This window comes from Homo sapiens, chromosome 5, assembly GCF_000001405.40.
Source record: "Homo sapiens chromosome 5, GRCh38.p14 Primary Assembly".
Classification (NCBI taxonomy): Eukaryota; Metazoa; Chordata; class Mammalia; order Primates; family Hominidae; genus Homo; species Homo sapiens.
Genome location: NC_000005.10, coordinates 95,897,136 through 95,918,981, shown reverse-complemented (window position 1 = coordinate 95,918,981; position 21,846 = coordinate 95,897,136). Strand labels below are relative to the sequence as shown.

At 38.2% G+C, this 21,846-nt stretch overlaps 1 protein-coding gene across 5 annotated transcripts in view; it reads left to right on the top strand.

Moving 5' to 3' along the window:
• Nucleotides 1-21,846, top strand: part of ELL2 (elongation factor for RNA polymerase II 2) — a 76,754-nt gene that overhangs the window by 42,870 nt on the left and 12,038 nt on the right. For all 5 annotated transcript variants that reach the window (NM_012081.6, XM_017009240.3, XM_047416959.1 and 2 more), the window contains 5 exons: nucleotides 5,048-5,211; nucleotides 12,200-12,459; nucleotides 17,902-18,026; nucleotides 18,202-18,289; nucleotides 20,172-20,742. In NM_012081.6, the coding sequence (NP_036213.2) occupies nucleotides 5,048-5,211; nucleotides 12,200-12,459; nucleotides 17,902-18,026; nucleotides 18,202-18,289; nucleotides 20,172-20,742 (1,208 nt within the window). The remainder of the gene's footprint in view (nucleotides 1-5,047; nucleotides 5,212-12,199; nucleotides 12,460-17,901; nucleotides 18,027-18,201; nucleotides 18,290-20,171; nucleotides 20,743-21,846) is intronic.

The window sequence follows — 21,846 nt, the reverse complement described above, 5'->3', positions numbered from 1 at the left end:
AGGTAGATTTTTAAACATCTTTATTCTACAGCTGCATGGAAACTAGAAATTAACCCAGTAAAGCAGTCTCTCCTTCTTCTTAAAAAAAAAGAAAAAAAAAAAAAGGAGGAGGAAGACAAGAATATACACACCCACACCCTAGGGTACCATGGGACGCTTATCTACTTAGATCCTCTGTAAACAATAAGCCACTTGTTTCACTCTTCATTGCTTTGGTTGTTTCTGATTAAAGAATAGGCCCTTGAGCAGGAGTTTGTTCTGCCCCTGGATATAGACAAGGGAGGTTAGGGTCTCTCTCATTTCCTCCTCATGTAAGGCTTTGACATTAGCCCCAAGTACCCTAGACCAGCGTATCTCTGTGACTTATCTGTGCAGTACTTGAAACTATGTAAGTACTTGCTCAATGTGGGGGAAAAGAAGAAGCAAAGTTGTGTTTCCAGCAGGTACAGGAGGCAGAGATACAAAATAAGACACTGACAGAGTTTTACCTTTATCCTCCCATTTAAGGTGTCTACGTAACTTTTTGTTATTTAATCTGTCATTTTCCCCAAGGATATATTCATGTTGCTTTCTGAAAATTACCCACCTTCAAACTTAAATGTTTTGGCATAAATTGCTATATTGTAGATTATATAGACTTTTCTGTGCTGTCCACTGTGATGGCCACTGGCCACATTGGCTATTTACATTTCAACTGATAAAAAATTAAATAAAATTTAAAACATCATTGCACATTCACACTAACCACATTTTGTGGTCTCAGTAGCTACCTGTTACTATCATAGTAGACAGCACAGTTATATAACATTTTCACTCTTGCAAAATGTTCTATTGATCAGCACTATGATAGATTATAGAATCACCAAGTATTAGGGTCCTTAGTGATTGTGTGAGTCAATCCCTTCATTTCACAGGTGATTTATCCAGAGTTATGTAGCTGGTTAGTTAGTGGCTAGGCTAAATGAGAACTGAGTTCTTCTAATTCCCACCCCAGTATTCTTTACACACAACATGGTACACTAATTTTTAATTGTGGTGCTTGTCTCTAGATTGTTGTTTTATTATAGTGAGCACATTTTGATATCAAATTGAACAATGTCCCCTTAGGAATTTTATTAAGGAGCTTAATCCTCTCTTCAAAAGCATTCATATCATTGTAAGTAATATGGCTTTACTCTTACATTATAAATACCCTGTGTGGTTATTTCTACCTTCCTTGTTTGGAAAGGATTTAAGGTCACTTACAAAACTATGTATGATGCAGTAAGAGAATAGAAACACTTATTGTGAAAATATTGGGGCAAATGTATCCCCTCTGTATAATCCAAGGTGCCTTATAAAATGAGGTAGTAAGGGTATAAATTGAAGTCTGCCACTAGGAAAACAAAAGCACTAGCTTTTGTTCTCAGGCTTTCACTTCACAGCCTGGCAAGCTGACCTGTCCATAATCTGGCTTCACCTTTTCCATTCAATTTAATTTCCATTTTCCTTATGGATCTTTTCTCTCTGACCACAGTGCATGCTCTTCAAGGTCAGAGGCTTTCTTATGCCCTTTTTCTAATTTCACAGTGCTGACTGAGCTCAAAATACATGCTTATTGACTCAACCTGGAGATAAAAGGGTAAAAACAGATGCTCAGTAAATAAATGTTCAACAAATACAAATTAACTAGTCTTCTTATCTATATTTTTAAACTTCCTTGATTCTCACTTTTCTCATATATAAAATGAAATCAATGTCACAGTCAAAATTGCCTTTCAAAAATTCCTTAAGTCTACCCATTTTCAGACTTAGTGAAAAATATATAGTCTAGGACCTATAGTGTATAATAATGCACACTTAAGCGAAGGAAATGGTGAGCTAGGCTAGAGAAAGACTAAGGGAGCATTTATATACATTTGTCTAAAATATTTAAACTTTCAGGGTAACTCGGTTGAGAAGGGATGAGTGAAGAATTCTAGAGAGTACCTTCTTGCCTACAGCGTTTAGCTCCGTTTGTTTTGCATAAAGATCTGTTTTCTGACTTCGCATGAGGGGCAGTATGTTCAGCTTATTCTCACTATGTAAATTACTTAGTAAATAATAGGAAGAGATGTTGAAATACAAACTTTCTGCCACCAGACCTTCACTCTATTGCAGTCATTTTCTCCCACTCTCCCCCCTCTCTCCCACTTCCTCTGAGGATTACCTTCCCCTCTCTCAGCATTCCTCTGTCAGTGGGTTTTTTTTTTTTCCTTTGGCATGCAAACATGCTCAAGTCTGTCTTATTAAAAAAGAAAATAAAAAACAAAAACAACCTCTCTTACATTCACTTCTCAACCCAAAGTCTGGCTTCAGTGCCCACCATTCCACTGAAACTGCTTCCCCAAGGGAGCTGTGACCTCCCTGCCCCCAAAATCCAGTGGATGTGTTATTGGTTCCTTATTATTCTGGACTTGTTGCCAGTGTTGCACACTGTTGACCACTCTCTCCTGCTTGAAGCGTCTGTTCCAGTGGCTTACATTACACAGTACTCTTCTGGTTTCCTTCCTACCTCTGTAGCTGTGGCTTTTCAGTCTCATGTGGTCTTCTTTTCTTCCTTTTGCTTAAATACTAGTGTTCTTCACAGTTGGTTCCCTCCTGAGACCCCTTCTCTCCTCATTCCTTCAAGGTCACCATCTCCAACACTGAACTTATGTTCTTTGTCCCAGTCCTGTCTCCCAACCTGTCCTTCATCTTGTGTTCAGTGTTTCAGTACATAGCAGCTTCCATATACCTCGTGACCTGGGCATGATCTTTAACTTTTTTCCCCCACCTCTCTCTGAGTGTGGCTAACTACTGACCACGTTTTGTCAGTTCCACTTCCTCACTATCTCTGGAAGCTGTGTACTATTCTACACTCTCACTGCCCTACTCTGGTTCATGCCATCACTGCTTGCCTGTAATCCTTCAGTAGCATCCTAAGTGGCCTCTTTTCTTTCCTTCTGGTGTCCCCCTTCCTCTCAATCTATCCTCCATCCAGATTGAGCTTTCTGCAATACAAATGAGTTATTTTCTCTCCCCTGATTTCAGCCTCTCGTTATCCTTTGGATAAGGTCCAAAACCTGTAACACATGACCCTCAGAGCCCTTTGTGATGTATTTCTCATTCCCTCTTCAGCTTCAGCTGTAATTGTCCTTCCCAACTTTCTTTGGACAATTTGAAAACCTTCTTTTTGCTCTTCCTGGCCCTGCACAGATTAGTTGTCCTCCCTGAACACTTTCATTCTTCTTCCCCCTTGCCCAGTCATCTTTCTAGATCACCTCAGGCATCACCTCCTCTGGGAAGTCCAGGTGAGATTACCTTTCTGGGAGTCCTCTGCTCCCTGGAATTTGTCACACTGTGTTATGATTTCCAGTTTGTCCATCCTTGTCACCCATTAGTTCCTTGAAAGAGGGACCACAACTGTTAGTTCTTGTCACAACCTCTCTGCTTCACACATTGCTAGGCATGCAGTCCCTGCCCAATAAATATTTATGAGATGAATTAACTGGTTTTTGTGTGTGTGTTTTTCTTAAATAGCATTTGTAAAGACAGTTATTAGCAATTTATAAAGATTTTATCAGCCAGGTGCGGTGGCTCACGCCTGTAATCCCAGCACTTTGGGAGGCCAAGGCGAGTGTTCATGAGGTCAAGAGATCAAGACCATCCTGGCCAACATGGTGAAACCCTGTCTCTACTAAAAATACAAAAATTAGCTGGGCATGGTGGCATGTGCCTGTAGTCCCAGCTACTTGGGAGGCTGAGGCAGGAGAATCACTTGAACCCGGGAGGCAGAGCTTGCAGTGAGCCAAGATTGCACCACTGCACTCCAGCCTGGCAACAGAGCGAGACTCCATCTCAAAAAAAAATTATCAACCTTTATTTCTTTGTATTATAACAAAGTTACTTCTAATTAAGTTTGGATATAGATGATCAGAGCTGTAGTGTCACTTTCATTAGTTTTATATTCCAGTTTGTTTTCAGGCCATAGCAATTTCTTTATAAAATACCAGTTATGACTGTGACCATGATCCCCCTAATATTAACATGTTACTTTGAAACAGAGCCATCTTCTAGGTCCATGTTAATATTCATGATTATTTCAATAAAAAGTGTTTTGTTCTGTTTTGTTTTTTTGAGATGGGGTCTCATTCTGTTGCCCAGGCTGGAGTGCAGTGGCGCCATCTCAGCTTACTGCAACCTTCACATCCTGGGCTCAAGAGACCCTCCCACTTCAGTCTCCTGACTAGCTGGAACTTCAGGCACACGCCACCATGCCCAGCTAATTTTTGTAGAGATGGGGTTTCTCCATGTTGCCCAGGCTGGTCTCAAACTCCTGAACTCAAGCAATCCACCTGCCTTGGCCTCCCAAAGTGTTGGGATTACAGGGATGAGCCACCGTGCCTGGCCTTTAAAAAAAAATTGCTATAAAAATCATTTGCCCTGTGTTTTCTTCAACATTTGCTAATAAGTAGGTCATCTTATATAGAGATTTAACAAAGTAAATACAAATTCTGCAAATTTTTAGGAACTTTTTGGACTAATAATATTAAAGTAAGCTTTAATTTTTGTCAGTATGTTAGCCTTAAAATTAATATATTATTTAAAATAAAAAAGAATGTGTGGTGAGTCCGTTTCAACTAGTCAGTCCAGACCATGTATATTGTGGTTTTACTAAAACTAAACTTTTTAACTTTCCTCATATCAGTGTTAGATAATTCTTTAAAATAGTTAACAGTTAAATAAAACAACTACAATGCCCATCAGAACTCTGGTCTCACTCTAAATACTGATTTTTTTTCTTTTTCAAAATTTTATGGATTTGGTCTCTGAGAGCTCACTTCATCCATTATATAAAGAATATGAAAAAAAGTGAAGAGAAGGATCTTAGATATTTTAAATAGCATTTACATTTAAAAATTAATATTAGTTATTTTAGGATTGCAAACTTAGTTGGGCTGCTGATTTTAGGATTATATAATTCTTGTTTGCCTTTATTGTACAAAATGAAGGTCATGTCTAACAAAGCCACTGACTTACTTGACAGCTCTGGAGCCTCCCAGCTCAATTGCCTGGGATTTATACAAGATAAAATTACAGTGTGTGCAACAAACGACTCGTATCAGATGACACGAGAAAGAATGACCCAGGCAGAGGAGGAATCCCGCAACCGAAGCACAAAAGTTATCAAACCCGGTGGACCATATGTAGGTTTGTATAGATATCTTTCTTCCTCTTGCTGATTGATTGGAGTAATTCAAGATCACCATAGGTAAATACCAGTAATATTAACTTAATGAAAACACAGAAACTAGTTTTCAGAACATTTTGGATAACATGGTGAGAAAAACAAAGTTATTTGTTCTCTTCAGACTGCCAGTAAATTGAAGAGCATATTTTAAAGTTCTATGACTTTCCTAAATCCTGAATCTTCGTTGGCTACTTACTATTATTTTATAGTACTGGGATCTGGTCACATTACTGCGTGAAGTTGCAATCGTGGTACCGTTGTGTTTTCTTTGTCACTAGATGATGTAATTTCAGTGATGGATACTATGGTTCTTGTTTTGCCTTTTTGTAGGGCTATTTTTATAGTAAAATCTATTAGTAGAATTTATGGGTTGATAATCTCATTGTTGTAGATTTTGCTTACATTTTCAGAGCATCTTTGTACAACAAGGATTTTTCATTACAAAAATATAAAATGTGCTTATAGCAAAGCATTACAACAGAGCATTAGACTGATGTCTCTTTGGTTCCTCAGTTGTGATCCTCATCCTCATCTATCCATTAATTAAGACCCTATCCGACCCCCATCATTTTTATCATTAGCTCACTCAAGTGTCTGTCAGATTGAAGGGAAGTAAGACCAGACTTGCAAGATGAGTCTCTCCTTTATGAGCAGTGACCTTAACAACTTTAAGGAGTCAATTCATGGTGACTATTAACAGTAATAGAATTATCAAGAGTGAGGAGGAGCTCTTTGAGTCCTTGGTCAATTTAATAACACAAGTCACTCTATAGTAAATGATGAAAGGATATTAATTTGGAAACTTAAACGCTCACAGAAAGTCTCTTGAAGAACCAAGTCCCTTAACTAGCATCTTTCCAGGGTTTGGCTTCATTCTACTTCTGTATTTTCCCACTGCTGATCCAGCTACAGTACATTCAGCTTTGAGAAGCTCCACTAGTGTCTTTAATAAGTACTTCTTTGGAACAAAGCAAATGCTCCTGGGGCTTGGTGCTTAGCTTAGATACATTTAGTTTGGTTTAACAACAATTCATCCCCTCCCCAGATATTTGTACCCATGGGGCCTAGTTCCCTGCTCAGTAAGTTACTAGCAATGAGACTTTTCACCTCTCTTTCCTGCTGAGTGAGGTAGCAACTTCCAGCCTCCTTTCTTTCTCCTTTATCCCCAGAAGTAACTTAATTAACTTTCTGGGTTAGTAGACTAAATCTCAAATTGTTTTTAAAACACACAAGATCTACCACACTTACATTTAAGTATAAACTATGAATGATCTACCCCTGTTGCTTGGAAAATGTTGTTTTCCTCTGCCCAATACCACCATTTTATAAACAGTGAGGCAAATTGTTGTGTTTGACAAAGGAATAGAAGACTGAAACCATCAAAACAATATTTTTCCTTCCCGATATAACTAGCTGAAAAAAAAACCCTCCCCTTGATTTATTCCAAAGCTTGAAAATCAGCGATGATGACTGCACTTTTCCATTGAATGGTCCTTGGGTGTCATCTGTGTTCATGTGTTTTTGTTTGTTTTCAAAGAGTCAAGTACAGTTTGTTTATAGCTTACACAACAGACTTCAACACCCAAAATCCCACAGTCCATACACTTCCTAATGGTACTGGGAATTTTAGAACTTGCAAGGTTTCTTATAGATACTACAAATAATTTACATACATTTTGGAGGTGACCACAGGAAATTTGAGGTTATCAGAGTTTACATGTGAACCAAATTATACCTCCCCTCTCCTAAGAAGAGCTGGCCTCCCTCTGTACACCCTCTTCCTCCCTGCAGAGGCTTGCATCGATCTCGGCCAATCCGGGCACTCTGTAGGCCTTTTCCTCTTTGCTTTGTCCTCAGTGTCCTAGCCACTCACCGTCACAGCAGTGTTCTTCTGTGGTCATAAATCTTTTCTTAACCTCCTCAGCCTTTTATTCTCTAGGTCAAATAACCCCAGCTCCTTTTATCTTTTCTTAGTATGGCCTGTATCCCAACCCCTTGATTATTTTATTGCTCTCCTCTGGACTGCCTCCAATTCTTCGCCTCAGAGTTCAAAACTGGCCACACTATTCTTAAAAGTCTGAGCAAGGCCGGGTGCGATGGCTCACGCCTGTAATCTTAGCACTTTGGGAGGCCGAGGCGGGCAGATCACGAGGTCAAGAGATCGAGACCATCCTGGCCAACACCAACATGGTGAAACCCTGTCTCTACTAAAAATACAAAAATAAATTAACTGGGCATGATGGCGTGCACCTGTAATCTCAGCTAAGCGGGAAGCTGAGGCAGGAGTATCGCTTGAATCCGGGAGGTGGAGGTTGCAGTGAGCCGAGATTGTGCCACTGCACTCCAACTTGGAGACAGAGCGAGACTCCGTCTCAAAAAAAAAAAAAGTGTGATCATTTCTGAATACAGGGGAGCAATGGATTCAAGTATCCTGATTGGCTTTTTTGTTTTCTGTTTTGATTTTTTTTTTTACTGTATTTTGTTAGGTCATGTTTTGATCTTTTTCTTTTAACCTTATCCATTGCCAGCTCTTTCTCATATATTGTTTTCCTTCCAGGCAGCTCAGTCTGTATCTTCCTGCCTCTTTGGGTGTCTCAAAACTGTCTGATTCATCCAGTTCTTTAAAATATCAATCACCCTTCAATACTAACAAAACCCAGCACTTATTGAGTGCCTGCTGTGCACAAGGCACTGGTTAGCACTCACATGTAGTTACTCATTGGAATCTCATAATCACCCGATGAAGAATGTTATTATTCTCTCTGTATTTTACATACCAAATTGTTGGTATCAGCAAATAGCAAATTATATGAGTGTGATCTCATTAACAAGTTCTGTGCTTTTCTTAAGACAGTAAGATATACCCCTTTAATTAATAATAGACTATATCACATAAAATGATGCCAGAAGTTTACCTATGCCAGCTTCGAGGTACCTGCAGGACAAGGTTTCTTTCAACAATGTCAGCCTGGGTAGAAGACCAATGAGAATAATGCTGATCCCACTGTGGCATGGTGGTAGCGTGATGACGGCTGACAGCTAGACTAGGGAGGAAGGCCAGTTTGAGGCAATGAAGACTGTGTTCCTAGGGGTCACCTGGCCTCATTGCCCAGGAATATGAGTTTCTGCAACCCTCTCGTGGGCAGAAGAAACCAAAATCTATTTGCCTAGAGAGGAGCAGGAAAGGCTTTAACCTAGAAAACATTATCTTCCAGTAATATTTTTACTTGTATTCATGACATTTATATCAGTGGTAAACACTGATATAAAAAAAAAAATCACTCGTCACCACTGCTTCTAATTCACCGATATTTTAAGTCTGCTCACTGACTTCTACCTAAATTTTGGAAGTGTATTAAATTATGAATTTTTATATGTACTAATATTTGTTTAGGTGTACAAAATAACCAATCTAATTTCTAGGATTCTGTTTCCAATTTTTCCAACTTCCAGCCCACCCTCCTTATTATTTTTTTCAATTTCTACTCTTTGTGAACAAACCTCCTTATTTTTGATGACAGACAAATCATTTAACATCTTACTTTTCTCAAATATTAAAAAAAAAGGTGGGTATTTGAACTAGACAAGATCTAAGGTCCTTTGTAGTGCTAACATTTTGTGAATGTTCAGTATATATATTTTGGTAGTAAACTTTTTGAAAAAGTAGTCACAAATGCCAAGTGGTGGAGATTTCCCTTGCAATGGATTATGTAGTTAACCATGACAGAGTCATGTCATTGTCATGAGCCTGCAGATGTTTTTAAAGCCTTGGGTCTGTGTTGCCAGGCTTCTGGTCAGGTTCCACAGAATGGAAAAACAACTGCAGAAGATGGCTGCAGTCCCTTCTGTCTTTGTGATGGATGTTTTAACACCTTCCTTTCAGACTGTTTACTCAAAGCCATTAGACTGAGGGGTAAATACTTTTGCTATCTTTATTAAATGAAGAAGCTAGAATTGGACTCCTTGTTATGAAACAGCGATTTAGTTGTTGTCCCAGACTACCCAACCCTGTCGGACCCACTGCTGCTGTTTATATAAAGAGCCCAGGGAGTTGATTAGCATTTGGGTCTGGGAAGAGAATTAGGTTCTCCCATAGGTTTTATTAAAATGGCTTTTTTCTGAGGCAAATATAAAAAATAAATCCTTTCTTCTGCCCACTTTGAACCTGACATTTTCTTGCTTTACTTTTTCATTTTTTCTTTTAGCATCTCAATTCTGTAAGTACCTTTATCACTGATGTTTTCTTCATCTGTAGCCTGTCTTTCCTTAAACCAGAGGATTCCTTCCTTGTCGAATAGGCACAAAAGGGATGGGGAGGTAGTGAACAAGTGATCTTTGAGTATAATTCAGTGGTCCAGTGTGGCTGAGTTGTTCTTTCAAGCATTTGAATGAAATATGAGTTAACCCCTAACTTGCTGTCTAAAAGAAAAATGAGGTAAAGGACAAAGTGAGTGTTTTGGGGGTAGGGGATTCATGGGGAGATGACAGTCTAGCAATGGGCCCCAAGTAAAACTCTAGTTCTGTCTTCACTTGATCAGGCTCTTACTTTCTTGCCAAACATCATACTTATATCCCTTTTAAGGGCAAAGTTAGCCTCCCTTATTTGTCTTCTCCATACCTGCTTTGGGGAAGCATGGGGATAAACCCAGTAGACCTTGGAGACCTCCTGAGATAAGGATCAGAGGTGAATCAGAGGTACAGAGGAGGTAGGGCACCTGAAAACAGTGGCAGTACTGTTAGTTTCTCTTTTTATTTTTATTTGCCTTGCTGCTTGAATTCATCCTAAATGACCAGTCCTAGTGTGTGTAGCTTAGCTAACAAACATTCTCTGCCCATCCCCCTTCCCAGAAAGAAAGAAGGGCTTCACTGTTAGCTTGGTTTGGAAAAGAGTTAAACAAATTTCTTTTTTGCAAGACTTGTTAAGGGGGAGGGAGTGTGGAATTTATAGCATTTTCTAAACTTGTGAACTTGACTCTATTTTTAAAAAATATTTCCTATTAAAATTTTAAGGAATGCTAATGTTTGTTAACGCTGTTGCAACTGGGAAATGGTGGATTAAATGGTTTCCCTTTGCCACATTAGAAATTTCAGTGTGTATTCACACTGGCAGCCTGGCAACGTGGGGAAGTATGGACTGTGTTGATTCCTGCTCCTCTGCTTACTTGCTCTCTCGCTGTCATTCATTTAGTCATCAAATACTGATTTAAGGCATGCTAGTGGACAAAGCAGCCACTGCCCTGCCCTCATAGAGCTTATAGCCTAACACAAAGCAACAGCAAACATTAGGCATTTGTTCATAAAACCTTTCCCACAAAGACTTACAGGCAGGAAAATTAGGTATTAATCAAATCACAGAACCTCCCAAATGCTAAGTGAGGATTTTACCCTTTGAGCATATCCCATTAAAAGCCTCAGTTTTCTCATCTGTGAAAGGGGACGGTACCTGCCTTTTCAGGTGAAACCTAGTGAGATAATGTGTATGCAGCTCTTAGCACAGTGTCCCCCACATAATTGGTGCATAAGTTTCCAGCTGATGTAAGAAAAATACAGAAACCCCAATCTAAATCTATCTCTGAAACTCTAATTATAACTTAAGTTTTTGTTATCATTAGGCAGTGTCCCCTTAATGTTGAGTTCCTTTGTTGTGTAATAGTTTGATATTTGCAATTGGTTTTGTACAGATAGTAAAGAAACATACCAGCCAGTAGAGGTTTCAGTTTGAGAGCATTCATCTTTTTTCCCTTACTGGAGGTAGGATGGAATCAAAACACACAGGCCTTCTGACCAGGCCTGGGGAGCCCAGCATGGACAGAATTACTATTCAGTAAAGCTCCTGCCCCAGTGAGCTGTTTTCACCCCAGACCACAGCTTATAGGAGCTGCTTTTACCCACCCATTATTTCTAGTTGTTAGTCTTGTTCCTAATGCACTTGTCCACATCGTATGTCATTACAAGTTCTTCCCCTTCTTTAACCAGAGGGCATAGAATTGGGGCTTAGTGTGTCCTAAACAAGCTAAAAGATTCCACCTGTAGAATCATAAAATGAGAGTCTCACACAGTTTCATGCTACTTTTTGTCTCTTCAGCAAGGAACGGTTGCTGGGATTGTCAGTGACCAGGCATGTCTGGATAGCTTCACACATACACATAATGCCCGGTTCACCTCAGCCCACACATGTTCTAGAAGTAGCCACTTGCCAAGTGTCAGTGTTCAGTCTAAACAGCAAATGGGTTAACCACATGAACAGCACTGGCCCATGTGAGAATGGTGTGAAGGCCTCCTTTGTACCATTTTCCATTTCTCTAACTCACATGTGTAGTCTCAGCACTGCAGAGGACAGATTTGTTTGTGCCCTCTGAGACTGGTTGGTTGGTTGGTTGGTTAGTTTTGTTTTATGAATCCTAAAATTTGTCTTGGCCTGTAAAAAAAAAAAATATATATATATATATATATCACTAACGGATGCCTCATGATGTTGACCTCCCCCCTCTTTGTGGCTTCTGAACGTGTGAAATTACTAACGTAATGCTCAGCCAAGAGTGTGTTCTTAGAGAGGTCTGACAGGTATTTCTGACATTTCACCATGTTCACTGTATTATAGTTTGCTTTTCAGAAATGGCATATATTTATTTAAGATATAAGTTATCAAGTCTGTTGTTACAGTTTGTGTTACTAGTTATTATCTTTCTGTAGCAAAATGACCAAAATACATGCATTATACATATTATTTCCAAGAAATGATTTTATTAAAATAATTTCTAATTCAAATTTTAGACCATTTATTTAAAATGCTTTCTGTTTGCATGCCTTCTTAAAGATTGAAATAAAGTGGCCTTTATTATTATTTCCTCTAGAAATGAAGAGGTACCTAAATCAGAATTGTGGAAACTGAGGTGCTCATATTGTAACCCACAAATGTGTAACAATGTCATTTCCACTGGACTTTAGGGAAAAGAGTGCAAATTCGGAAAGCACCTCAAGCTGTTTCAGATACAGTTCCTGAGAGGAAAAGGTCAACCCCCATGAACCCTGCAAATACAATTCGAAAGACACATAGCAGCAGCACCATCTCTCAGAGGCCATACAGGGACAGGGTGATTCACTTACTGGCCCTGAAGGCCTACAAGAAACCGGAGCTACTTGCTAGACTCCAGAAAGATGGTGTCAATCAAAAAGACAAGAACTCCCTGGGAGCAATTCTGCAACAGGTGAGGACAGCTGGAGAGAGGTCCTTCCTGCTTACCTTCTTGTTAAAATGTTCATTTAAAAAAGCTTGTTGTCATTATTATCATTATTATTGAGATAGAGAAATTTTAGGATTATTTTGATCAGTGGTATGTGAAATACAACTCCTGAATATTAAGTTAAATCATCTCATTTTAAGCACTTAATTAAAAACTAGTTGAAATGTGAGCATTGTCTTTATTTGGGACCAACAAATTTTGTTCTCAAATTCCATTAAAAAGAAAGTAAGAAGTGTTTGTTATCTGTTTTTAGTGTTGAATACACTAAAGTATTGCCTTAATTTGTATTGATTATTGTCGGTGAAATTGTGCAATGTATTCTATTGGCCTTTGATTGGTATAAGCCAGAACATTTTTTGCCTACTAAATAGTTTAAAATGTATCTTGCCCCACATACTTTGTGCTGCCCTTATTACTCTATCTTTTTCTGCCACTAAGTGTGCCAAGATCAGTCATTTGTCTGCATAAAAGCATATGAAATTGTAATGTATTAGCAGTGATCCCATACTTTATCACAAGCTTACGTGTAAGAAAGTAGGCCATTGTTTTTTAAAGTCAGTGGTTTGTTAGACTATAACCTCCTACATATTTTTTTCTTCCTTCCTTCTGTCCATCTGTCATAAATCTTTATGAGCATTCAGATCCACCATAAATGGTGGTCCATCTTTTTTACTTTTTCTAAGGAAATAACATTTCCAAAGAAGTTATTCTGAATCTCATCATTTAAAAAAAAAAAAAACCCTACAGGTTTTGATCTGTTATTCAAAGAGTAACATTTCAAGTCTATTTTTTTATCCATTATCTCTTACATTCACAACATAATACTAAATGTTATGAAAGGGTAAGACCATTGTCTCCAATTCAGGTTAGCCAGTCCCCAAGGTATCTCAATCAATCTTAAGGATCTTTATTAAGTCCTTTAGCACTTTTTGGAAATAATTTAAATCCATATGTCACATAGCAGTTTTAAGAGCTCAAAAGAAAGAGAATAAATGAGAATGAGGGTGTGTGTGTTCAGTTTGATATCTGGAGAAGCAGTGAGAGTCAGGTTACAAATCACAAAGCATTTGGTAACTGCATCTCCAGAAAAGTTGTGAATTAGCTTCTCAGTTTGATAATGGAGAAGGCAAAATGACTGCAGAGGCAATTCACACATAGACTACTATTGATATATGGCAGTAATTATGTGATTGTGTATATACATATAGATATCTAAATATATATATATATACGTGTGTGTGTGTGTGTGCGCGTATCTCAAAGTGTAGATAAACTTTACCCCCAAGCGAGGCATGAGAGTTATTAGTGTTGATCATTTGATAGAATCTAGAGCATCATCTCATCCTGGTAACATATTAGAATCCCTTGGGTAGCCTTTAAAACATGCCAGTGCCTGAACTCCACCTGAGACCAACAAAAGCCAAGTATCTGAAGGTGGGGCCTAGGCACTCATATTCTATATGGCCCTAATGATTCTAATATACGAGCTGAAACCACTGGCCTAGTGAAAACACAGAAAGGCTAACAACATCGACCATTTTTTGAGCATATACTATGTGCCAGGCACAGTGCTAGGCATTTCACGTGCACGATCTCATTTATCCTCCCAAGAAAGATATCAGGCATATTCATAACTTTGACATAAACCAATTATACCTAAATTCCCTTTCCTGAACATTGCTAGCAGCTAACAAAAAAAAATAAAATGACTTTGCTCTAATAAAACTGACCAAAAGTAGGCACCAGAGAAAAGAAGAGCCGCAAGATACATACAAATCATCCCAAAATTGGTTATTCTGTCCCAGACAAACTAGTTGGGAAACAAGTTACCTAAAATAATTAATCAGGCTTTGCCTGTGCCAGTAGAGATAATTTGCTTATTTGTTACTTACACAGTAGTTTTCAGAACCCTGTGGACATTATTAATTCATCAAAGTAATAGGTTTTTAAAATAAACTAAGATGTTGGCTCCCGGTAAAATTTGTACCTAAATTTAAAAGTGCTTAACATCCACCAGGAAATTTGTGTATTGCTGTTTATTATTAAACTGGTATGTATTAATAAAACCTTTTTTTCTTAGAATGACCTTTTATGGAAAAACTAAATTTTAACAATCAGAAACTAGATAAAGTTGAATAATGTATCCAGCTTAACATTTGGATATTTGGCTCAAGCTCAACATTCATTCATTCAATTCAACTTATTAAGTACCTACAGTGTACCAGACACTGTTTTAAATGCTGGAATCCCAAAGTAACCCCAATAGAAACCCTGCCCTCATGGAGCTTATTCATGAGACAATTTCAGGACCAGTGAGGAGTTGAAAGGAGCTGGGGAAGGAATCCTCTGCTTTAAGTGGAGAGATCAGGGAACCTTTTCTCAGATGGCTGCATTTTAGACTGCATTTAGACTGCATTTAAGACTTCTACGGCAAGAATGGCTTGGAGGGGCAGGAGTAGAGGAGAGAGACTACTTAAAGAGCCTAATATTTTGTGATAAGACTTGCTAACGGTTAGGTGTAGGGAGACAATGAGGGGAAGAACGGAATCTGTGATTATAGCTAGGTTTTTGGCTGAGCAATTGAATGGATATTGAGCCATTGACTGAGATGCGGAAGGATGGAAAAGAAGTAGGATTAAGGGGGAGAAGAGGATCAGGAATTCTGTCTTATATAGACTCCATTTGGAAGATGTCTATTAGACATATCCAAGTGGAGATAGATGTCAGTAGATAGTTATATGTAAGGGTGTGGTTGTCAGAGGATAGTTGGGGCTAGAGTTATAAATTTAGGAATTAGCAGCATATATATTGGGTATTGAAAGTCTTCAAACTTAATGAAATCATCTTAGGAGGAAATGAACAGAATGAGGAAAACAGAGCAGAAAACAGGCACTAAGTACTTTAGCATTTCAACATATAGAGGATTGAGAAACAGAGACTTAAAAAACAAAGGTCCTAGGCCAGGCGCCGTGGCTCACCCCTGTAATCCCAGCGCTTTAGGAGGCCGAGGTGGGGGGATCACGAGGTCAGGAATTCGAGACTAGCCTGGCCAACATGGTGAAACACATGGTGAAACTCTGTCTCTACTAAAAATACAAAAATTAGCTGGGCATGGTGACAGGCGCCTATAATCCCAGCTACTCAGGAGGCTGAGGCAGGAGAATTGCCTGTATCTGGGAGGCAGAGGTTGCAGTGAGCTGAGATCATGCCACTGCACTCCAGCCTGGGCGACAGAGCAAGACTCTGTCTCGGAAAAAAAAAAAAAAAAAAAAAAAAAAGGTCCTAAGAGAGGCGGAAACCAGGAGAATGTCCTATTACAAAAACCTAGAAAATGGATTGCTGTGGGGGTGGGGGTGTCAATGTGTGTAGTGCTGGGGGTAAAAGAAAATGGAAGCATTGCCAGTGGGGCGTAGTGGCTCACACCTATAATCCCAGCACTTTAGGAGGCCAAGGGAAGATTGCTTGAGCCCGGGAGTTTGAGACCAGTCTACACAATATGGTGAAACCCCATCTCTACAAAAAATACAAAATACAAAAACTAGCCGGGCATAGTGGTGTCCACCTGTAGTCCCAGCTACTCAGGAGGCTGAGGTGGGAGTACCACCTGAGCCCAAGAAGTCAAGGCTGCAGTGAGCCATGTTCCTGCCACTGGACTCCAGCCTGGGTGACAGAGTGAGACCTTGTCTCAAAAAATGAAAAAGAGTAAGAAGAAAGAAAAAAGAAAATTGATGGATTGTGTTTATTCCACCTCAAGAAATCTGGGTGTATACTATATTAACTTATTTGCAAATTTGAATTTTGCAAATTTGAATTTTAAGATAAACCTATTTTCTCCTTAATAGAAACATTACTGTTAGAATAGTGTTCAGCTAAGTTGTGAGAAGCATAAACTATCATATTTGTTAGTACTTTTAAAAGACACAGAAAGAATGATCTATTCCAGTAGGAAGTCATAAGCAAGAGTAATTTTCTCCTAGCCTTAAAAATTAATTACTTTTGGTTTGGCACGTGAACCTGTATGTTTGTGTAGTTAGTTAATGGCTAAGCCGCGAAACTCTAGGAATTGCAGTTAAGGGATAAGAAAAGATTACACTTCGGAATAAACTGGCTGACTAATAACAGTAATTTGGGGGTTCTCTAGGCATATGTTTTCATTTATTGGTTTGGGGAATTTCAAGGACTTTGAGTAAGTGGTTCTTCAGGAGAACTGGCAGATATAAGGAGCAAGCGTGGTTATCCAAAGAAAGACAGACAAGGTTATCAGAATTGATACTATTTATGAAGACAGTGTTTGGTTGATGACTGAAAGGAAAGTTTGTAACCCAACATTTGGGCACTGTTTGGTTTCTACTTAATACAAGTGATCAAGGATTTTTATTGTGACTCAAAAGTAATGGACTCAATTGCCCAGAAGTAAATAAGGATGTTGGTAATACAGTAGTCCTTATCCGTGGTTTCACTTTCTGGGGTTTCAGTTACCTATGGTCAACCATGATCCAAAAATATTAAAAGGAAAATTTCAGAAGTAAACATTTTGTTAGTTTTAAGTAGCACGCTGTTCTGAGAAACGTGATGAGACCTCACATTGTCCTGCTCTGTCCCGCCCAGGATGTGAATCATCCCTTTGTTTAGCTTTACATTGTAGATGCTACCCACTCATTAGTCACTTGGTAGCCATCTTGGGCCATTATTAAGTGCAGTAAGGGTTACCTGGACACATGCACTGAGATACCACAGCAGTGGATTGGATAACCCTCTGTATGTCCCCCATTAGTCACTAGCCATCTCCGTTTTCAAATCGACTGTTGTAATATCATAGTACTTGTGTTCAAGTAATCCTTATTTTACTTAGTAATGGCCCCAAAGCGCAAGAGTAGTGTTGCCAGCATGTTGGCATAATTGCTCTATTTTATTAGTAGTTATTGTTAATCTCTTACCATGCCTAATTTATAAATTAAACTATCAGGTATGTATGTATAAGAAAAAAACAGTATATATAGGGTTCGTTACCATCGGAGTTTTTAGGCATCGACTGGGGGTGTTTGAGTGTATCCTTTGAAGATAAGGAGGGGACTACTGTACAACTGTTTTGGATTCCTTTGACTAAAATAATTGATTTTTTTAAAATCTTCACTTTTTTCCTAATATGGGCTTATTATCTGATTAGAAATATTAAAAATGCAATGGCCATTCTGGGAAAAAAACATTTAGCTGTGTATATAAAGCTTTAATTCCCAAAATGAAGTTAATGGCATTTATTGAGATCTGGCATATAATACAAAACTAGCAGTCCCTTTGGGGCCAATTGATGTAATTATTTTCAGTGTAAATCCTAAAGGTTGCCTGTTTTAGGTTAGGAGATGATAGTAAAAATACCTAATGCTCTGTTTTTATACCTCATACTAGGTAGCCAATCTGAATTCTAAGGACCTCTCATATACCTTAAAGGATTATGTTTTTAAAGAGCTTCAAAGAGACTGGCCTGGATACAGTGAAATAGACAGACGGTCATTGGAGTCAGTGCTCTCTAGGTGAATTCTTTTTTTCTTGCTTTTAAAAAAATGTTTCTTTAAAAATTATGGAAATAAGTCATTATTTTAGTCATTGTTATTTTAGTGTTAAGGTGGGAAGGGAAGCAAGGCAAGCTTTCTATCATGAACATTTTTAAATCATCTCCTTAACACATAACATGTGTGTCCTTTACAGAAAACTAAATCCGTCTCAGAATGCTGCAGGCACCAGCCGTTCAGAATCTCCTGTATGTTCTAGTAGAGACGCTGTATCTTCTCCTCAGGTATGTCATAAACATAGAATTATAGACCTGACATAGATATTAGGGGCCTCTAATCAGGTCCTCTGATGTATAAGTGAAGGAAATGAGACCCGGAGAAGCTGGACAGCTTGCCTGCCCAAAGCCATCTGGTTATGGCTGAGCTTAGCCTAGAATTTAGGTCTTGGCTTCCAGCCCAGAACTTTCTCCACTACACAGCACTGCTTGTCAGAGTACTTAATGTCTACCTTGCTTTCCATTTTTAAAGTTTACATTTTGTTGTAAGATTATCTACTTTCCAATTTGGTCACTAACTAGAAGACTTACCCAGTCCCAAACAATTATCAGATTATATGGAAAATTGAAGATACTTAATTTTGTCTGTCAACATGTTCCAGAAGAATATTTTTTGGGGAAAATGGATTTACAATCAACAAATAAACAAAAATGATGGCATGTTTCCATGTTTTCTTTTTAATTGGATCCTTATCAGAGTACTCCCAATCAGATTCTTCTCCAGTTTAGAGTTTTCCCCCAAGAGATTCAGCTCATCCAAGAAAAAGGTGAGAAGGTCCTAGGCAGTACTAGAGTGAAGCCTGCCTGATTCTCAGCTGATTGGCCAAACTCAGAACTCTCTCGGTGTTCTGGGTGCTTTTGACAGACAGTGGGACGCACCTCCCCACCCCAGTACTGCTGACACAGTGTCTTCCCTCTCTCTCTCTGGACCTTACTCCCAAGAATTAGTGAGAAGCCCACAGATGTGTGGAGAACACTAAGCATACCCTGGGCAAACAGCCATTCGCACATCAGAAAATATTAGAAACTTATTGTGAGGAACAGAGGGGGAACAAAAAAGAAAAAGGAAAAAAAGCAGGTCTGTCCTTGCATATATACAATGTCTGTGGAAGTCTCACTTTTAATGCCAACTATTATGAAACTACTTCTACTCTGATCAAATTATATACTAGGTGCCAAATAAATGGTGTTAAATTGAAAACAAAATAATGAGTTGATTAACCATTATTTTCTTTCAAGCCAGAATACAAGCTACAGCATTACATTTAAGCATAAATGTGAATTTATATTTTATAGTTTTCAACTATCTAAATTTCCTTTTTAACTTAAATACTATTATTGTTGTTGACAGATTAGGCTACTATTACCATGATTTTTTTTAAAGTACTTCCACCTAATTTTAATGGACCAATTATTAAGACTTATCTTCCAATCTGGTAAAGAGATATGTAACGGTAAAAAAAAAAATTAAATAGCATTTCAACAGTGATAGAGATAATTAGAGAAACTATTCTGAAAGTGCTGGCTGTTCCCACTCTAAGACAGGTGGAATGATAAATGACAGCCAAAATACTCTTAACTGGAGCATTTTAGCCCATTAAAGATTAAAATAAGTGCAGGCTATTGCCCTTTACCTAGCTGTGTTAGTTCTCACAGAGTCAAACGGCACAAATTGCTTTCTCTTCTCATTTAATATAACTAGGTCAACCACAGCCAGCAATGGAGGGTGACTGCCTCTGTTTAATACTCTCCTGAGTGGTATAATCCACATAAATCAGCATAGTCTCTCTTGGAACTTAGGGTAAAGCTGTATGATTAGAAAGAATTCAGTAAGCACTTCAAGAAACATTTGCCAGATTCTGCTTTTTGACATTAAACATGAAAATGTATTTCACATTTGGTTTTGTGTTGTTGTTGTTCTGGTTTAGTTTTTGTTTGGGTTTTTTGTTTGTTTGTTTTTTGCTTAAGCATGAAGAAAGCGTGTAATATTACAACCCTGGTAATATTAATAGTAAGTAAGGTTACTTAGTTGTTTAACCAGCCATGCATGTATTGAATTTATTTAATTTTAGTGCAAACTGGCTCACTTTTCTCCTTTTCCCTCCCCTAGAAACGGCTTTTGGATTCAGAGTTTATTGATCCTTTAATGAATAAAAAAGCCCGAATATCTCACCTGACGAACAGAGTACCACCAACACTAAATGGTCATTTGAATCCCACCAGTGAAAAATCTGCTGCAGGCCTCCCGCTGCCCCCTGCGGCTGCTGCCATCCCTACCCCTCCACCGCTGCCTTCAACCTATCTGCCCATCTCACATCCTCCTCAGATTGTAAATTCTAACTCCAACTCCCCTAGCACTCCAGAAGGCCGGGGGACTCAAGACCTACCTGTTGACAGTTTTAGTCAAAACGATAGTATCTATGAGGACCAGCAAGACAAATATACCTCTAGGACTTCTCTGGAAACCTTACCCCCTGGTTCCGTTCTACTAAAGTGTCCAAAGCCTATGGAAGAAAACCATTCAATGTCTCACAAAAAGTCCAAAAAGAAGTCTAAAAAACATAAGGAAAAGGACCAAATAAAAAAGCACGACATTGAGACTATTGAGGAAAAGGAGGAAGATCTTAAGAGAGAAGAGGAAATTGCCAAGCTAAATAACTCCAGTCCAAATTCCAGTGGAGGTATTTTACCTTTAGATGAACCAGAAGTGCATGCTATCATGAGTTTGAAATTACACAGTTTATAATTAGTAATTTCTTTAGCAAATGACGTTTCATTTAATTATTAATCTTAGTGTTGTGCTTTTGAGCAGTTTTTTTTTTTTTTTTTCATTTTACAGCAGTTGTTTTCCATCTCTTTTTGGCCAACTATTAAACATGATTTCTATATTAATAAGAATGGCATTTGAAAATGACTGTCATACTTGAGACTCCTTTTTGGAAGGTGGACCTTTAACATTCTTTTCCATATCTGTTATGATATTGTGCAGCCTCAGCATGACCTATTATATGCCATTCTTGAACTGATTTAATCAGACACAATTTGCAATAAGAATATTCATTTCCTTCTTTCTCAATGAAACAGGGTCACCCTTGCTTCAATTAATATTAGCACAGGGGAAAGGTCAACTTTTTAATAAATCAGGCCAAGATAAAATTTCATTTGCAGATTCATAACATCATCTTTATTTAGAGTGAAAACACTTTGTCTTTTGCAAGACTGTTGGCTAGCGTTCGCTTAATAGATCTTAAGGTTTAGGGGTTTTTCCCCCAATTTTGAGAGTCCTGTTTTAGTGAACTAACATCAATTGTTATTTGTAAAATTAGCCATTTCAAAGCTTTAGGAGCTTAAATGCTAAATATCTAGAGATCCAAAGAAACTTAAAGCTTTACCTCTAAAGAAAAGCTAATTCATAAAAAGCTTGCTTGCCTAAGATGTCCTGAGTGTTAAAAACTGACAAAATTAGATTTTTCTTATTTAAAAAATATGTCCTCTAAAACTTAATTCCTTGCATGCCACCACATAGAAGATCCAAGTTCACCATTTGGCATTGCTGCCAGTTTTAAAACCAGAATAACTAAGGCAAAATTCCATAGGAAAATATGGCTTTGGAAAAATTACTTTAATGAGTAGAGTTATAAGGAGTGTTGTCTTTCTGTATTTTGCTCATGATTCTGAAAGTCTGTAATCCTTAGATTTAATTGACCATCTTTGCCATATGAGAGAAGCTCTATTTTCTTTTAGTGTTACTTCCAAAGAAGCCGCTGTAGAATATGATATGATAT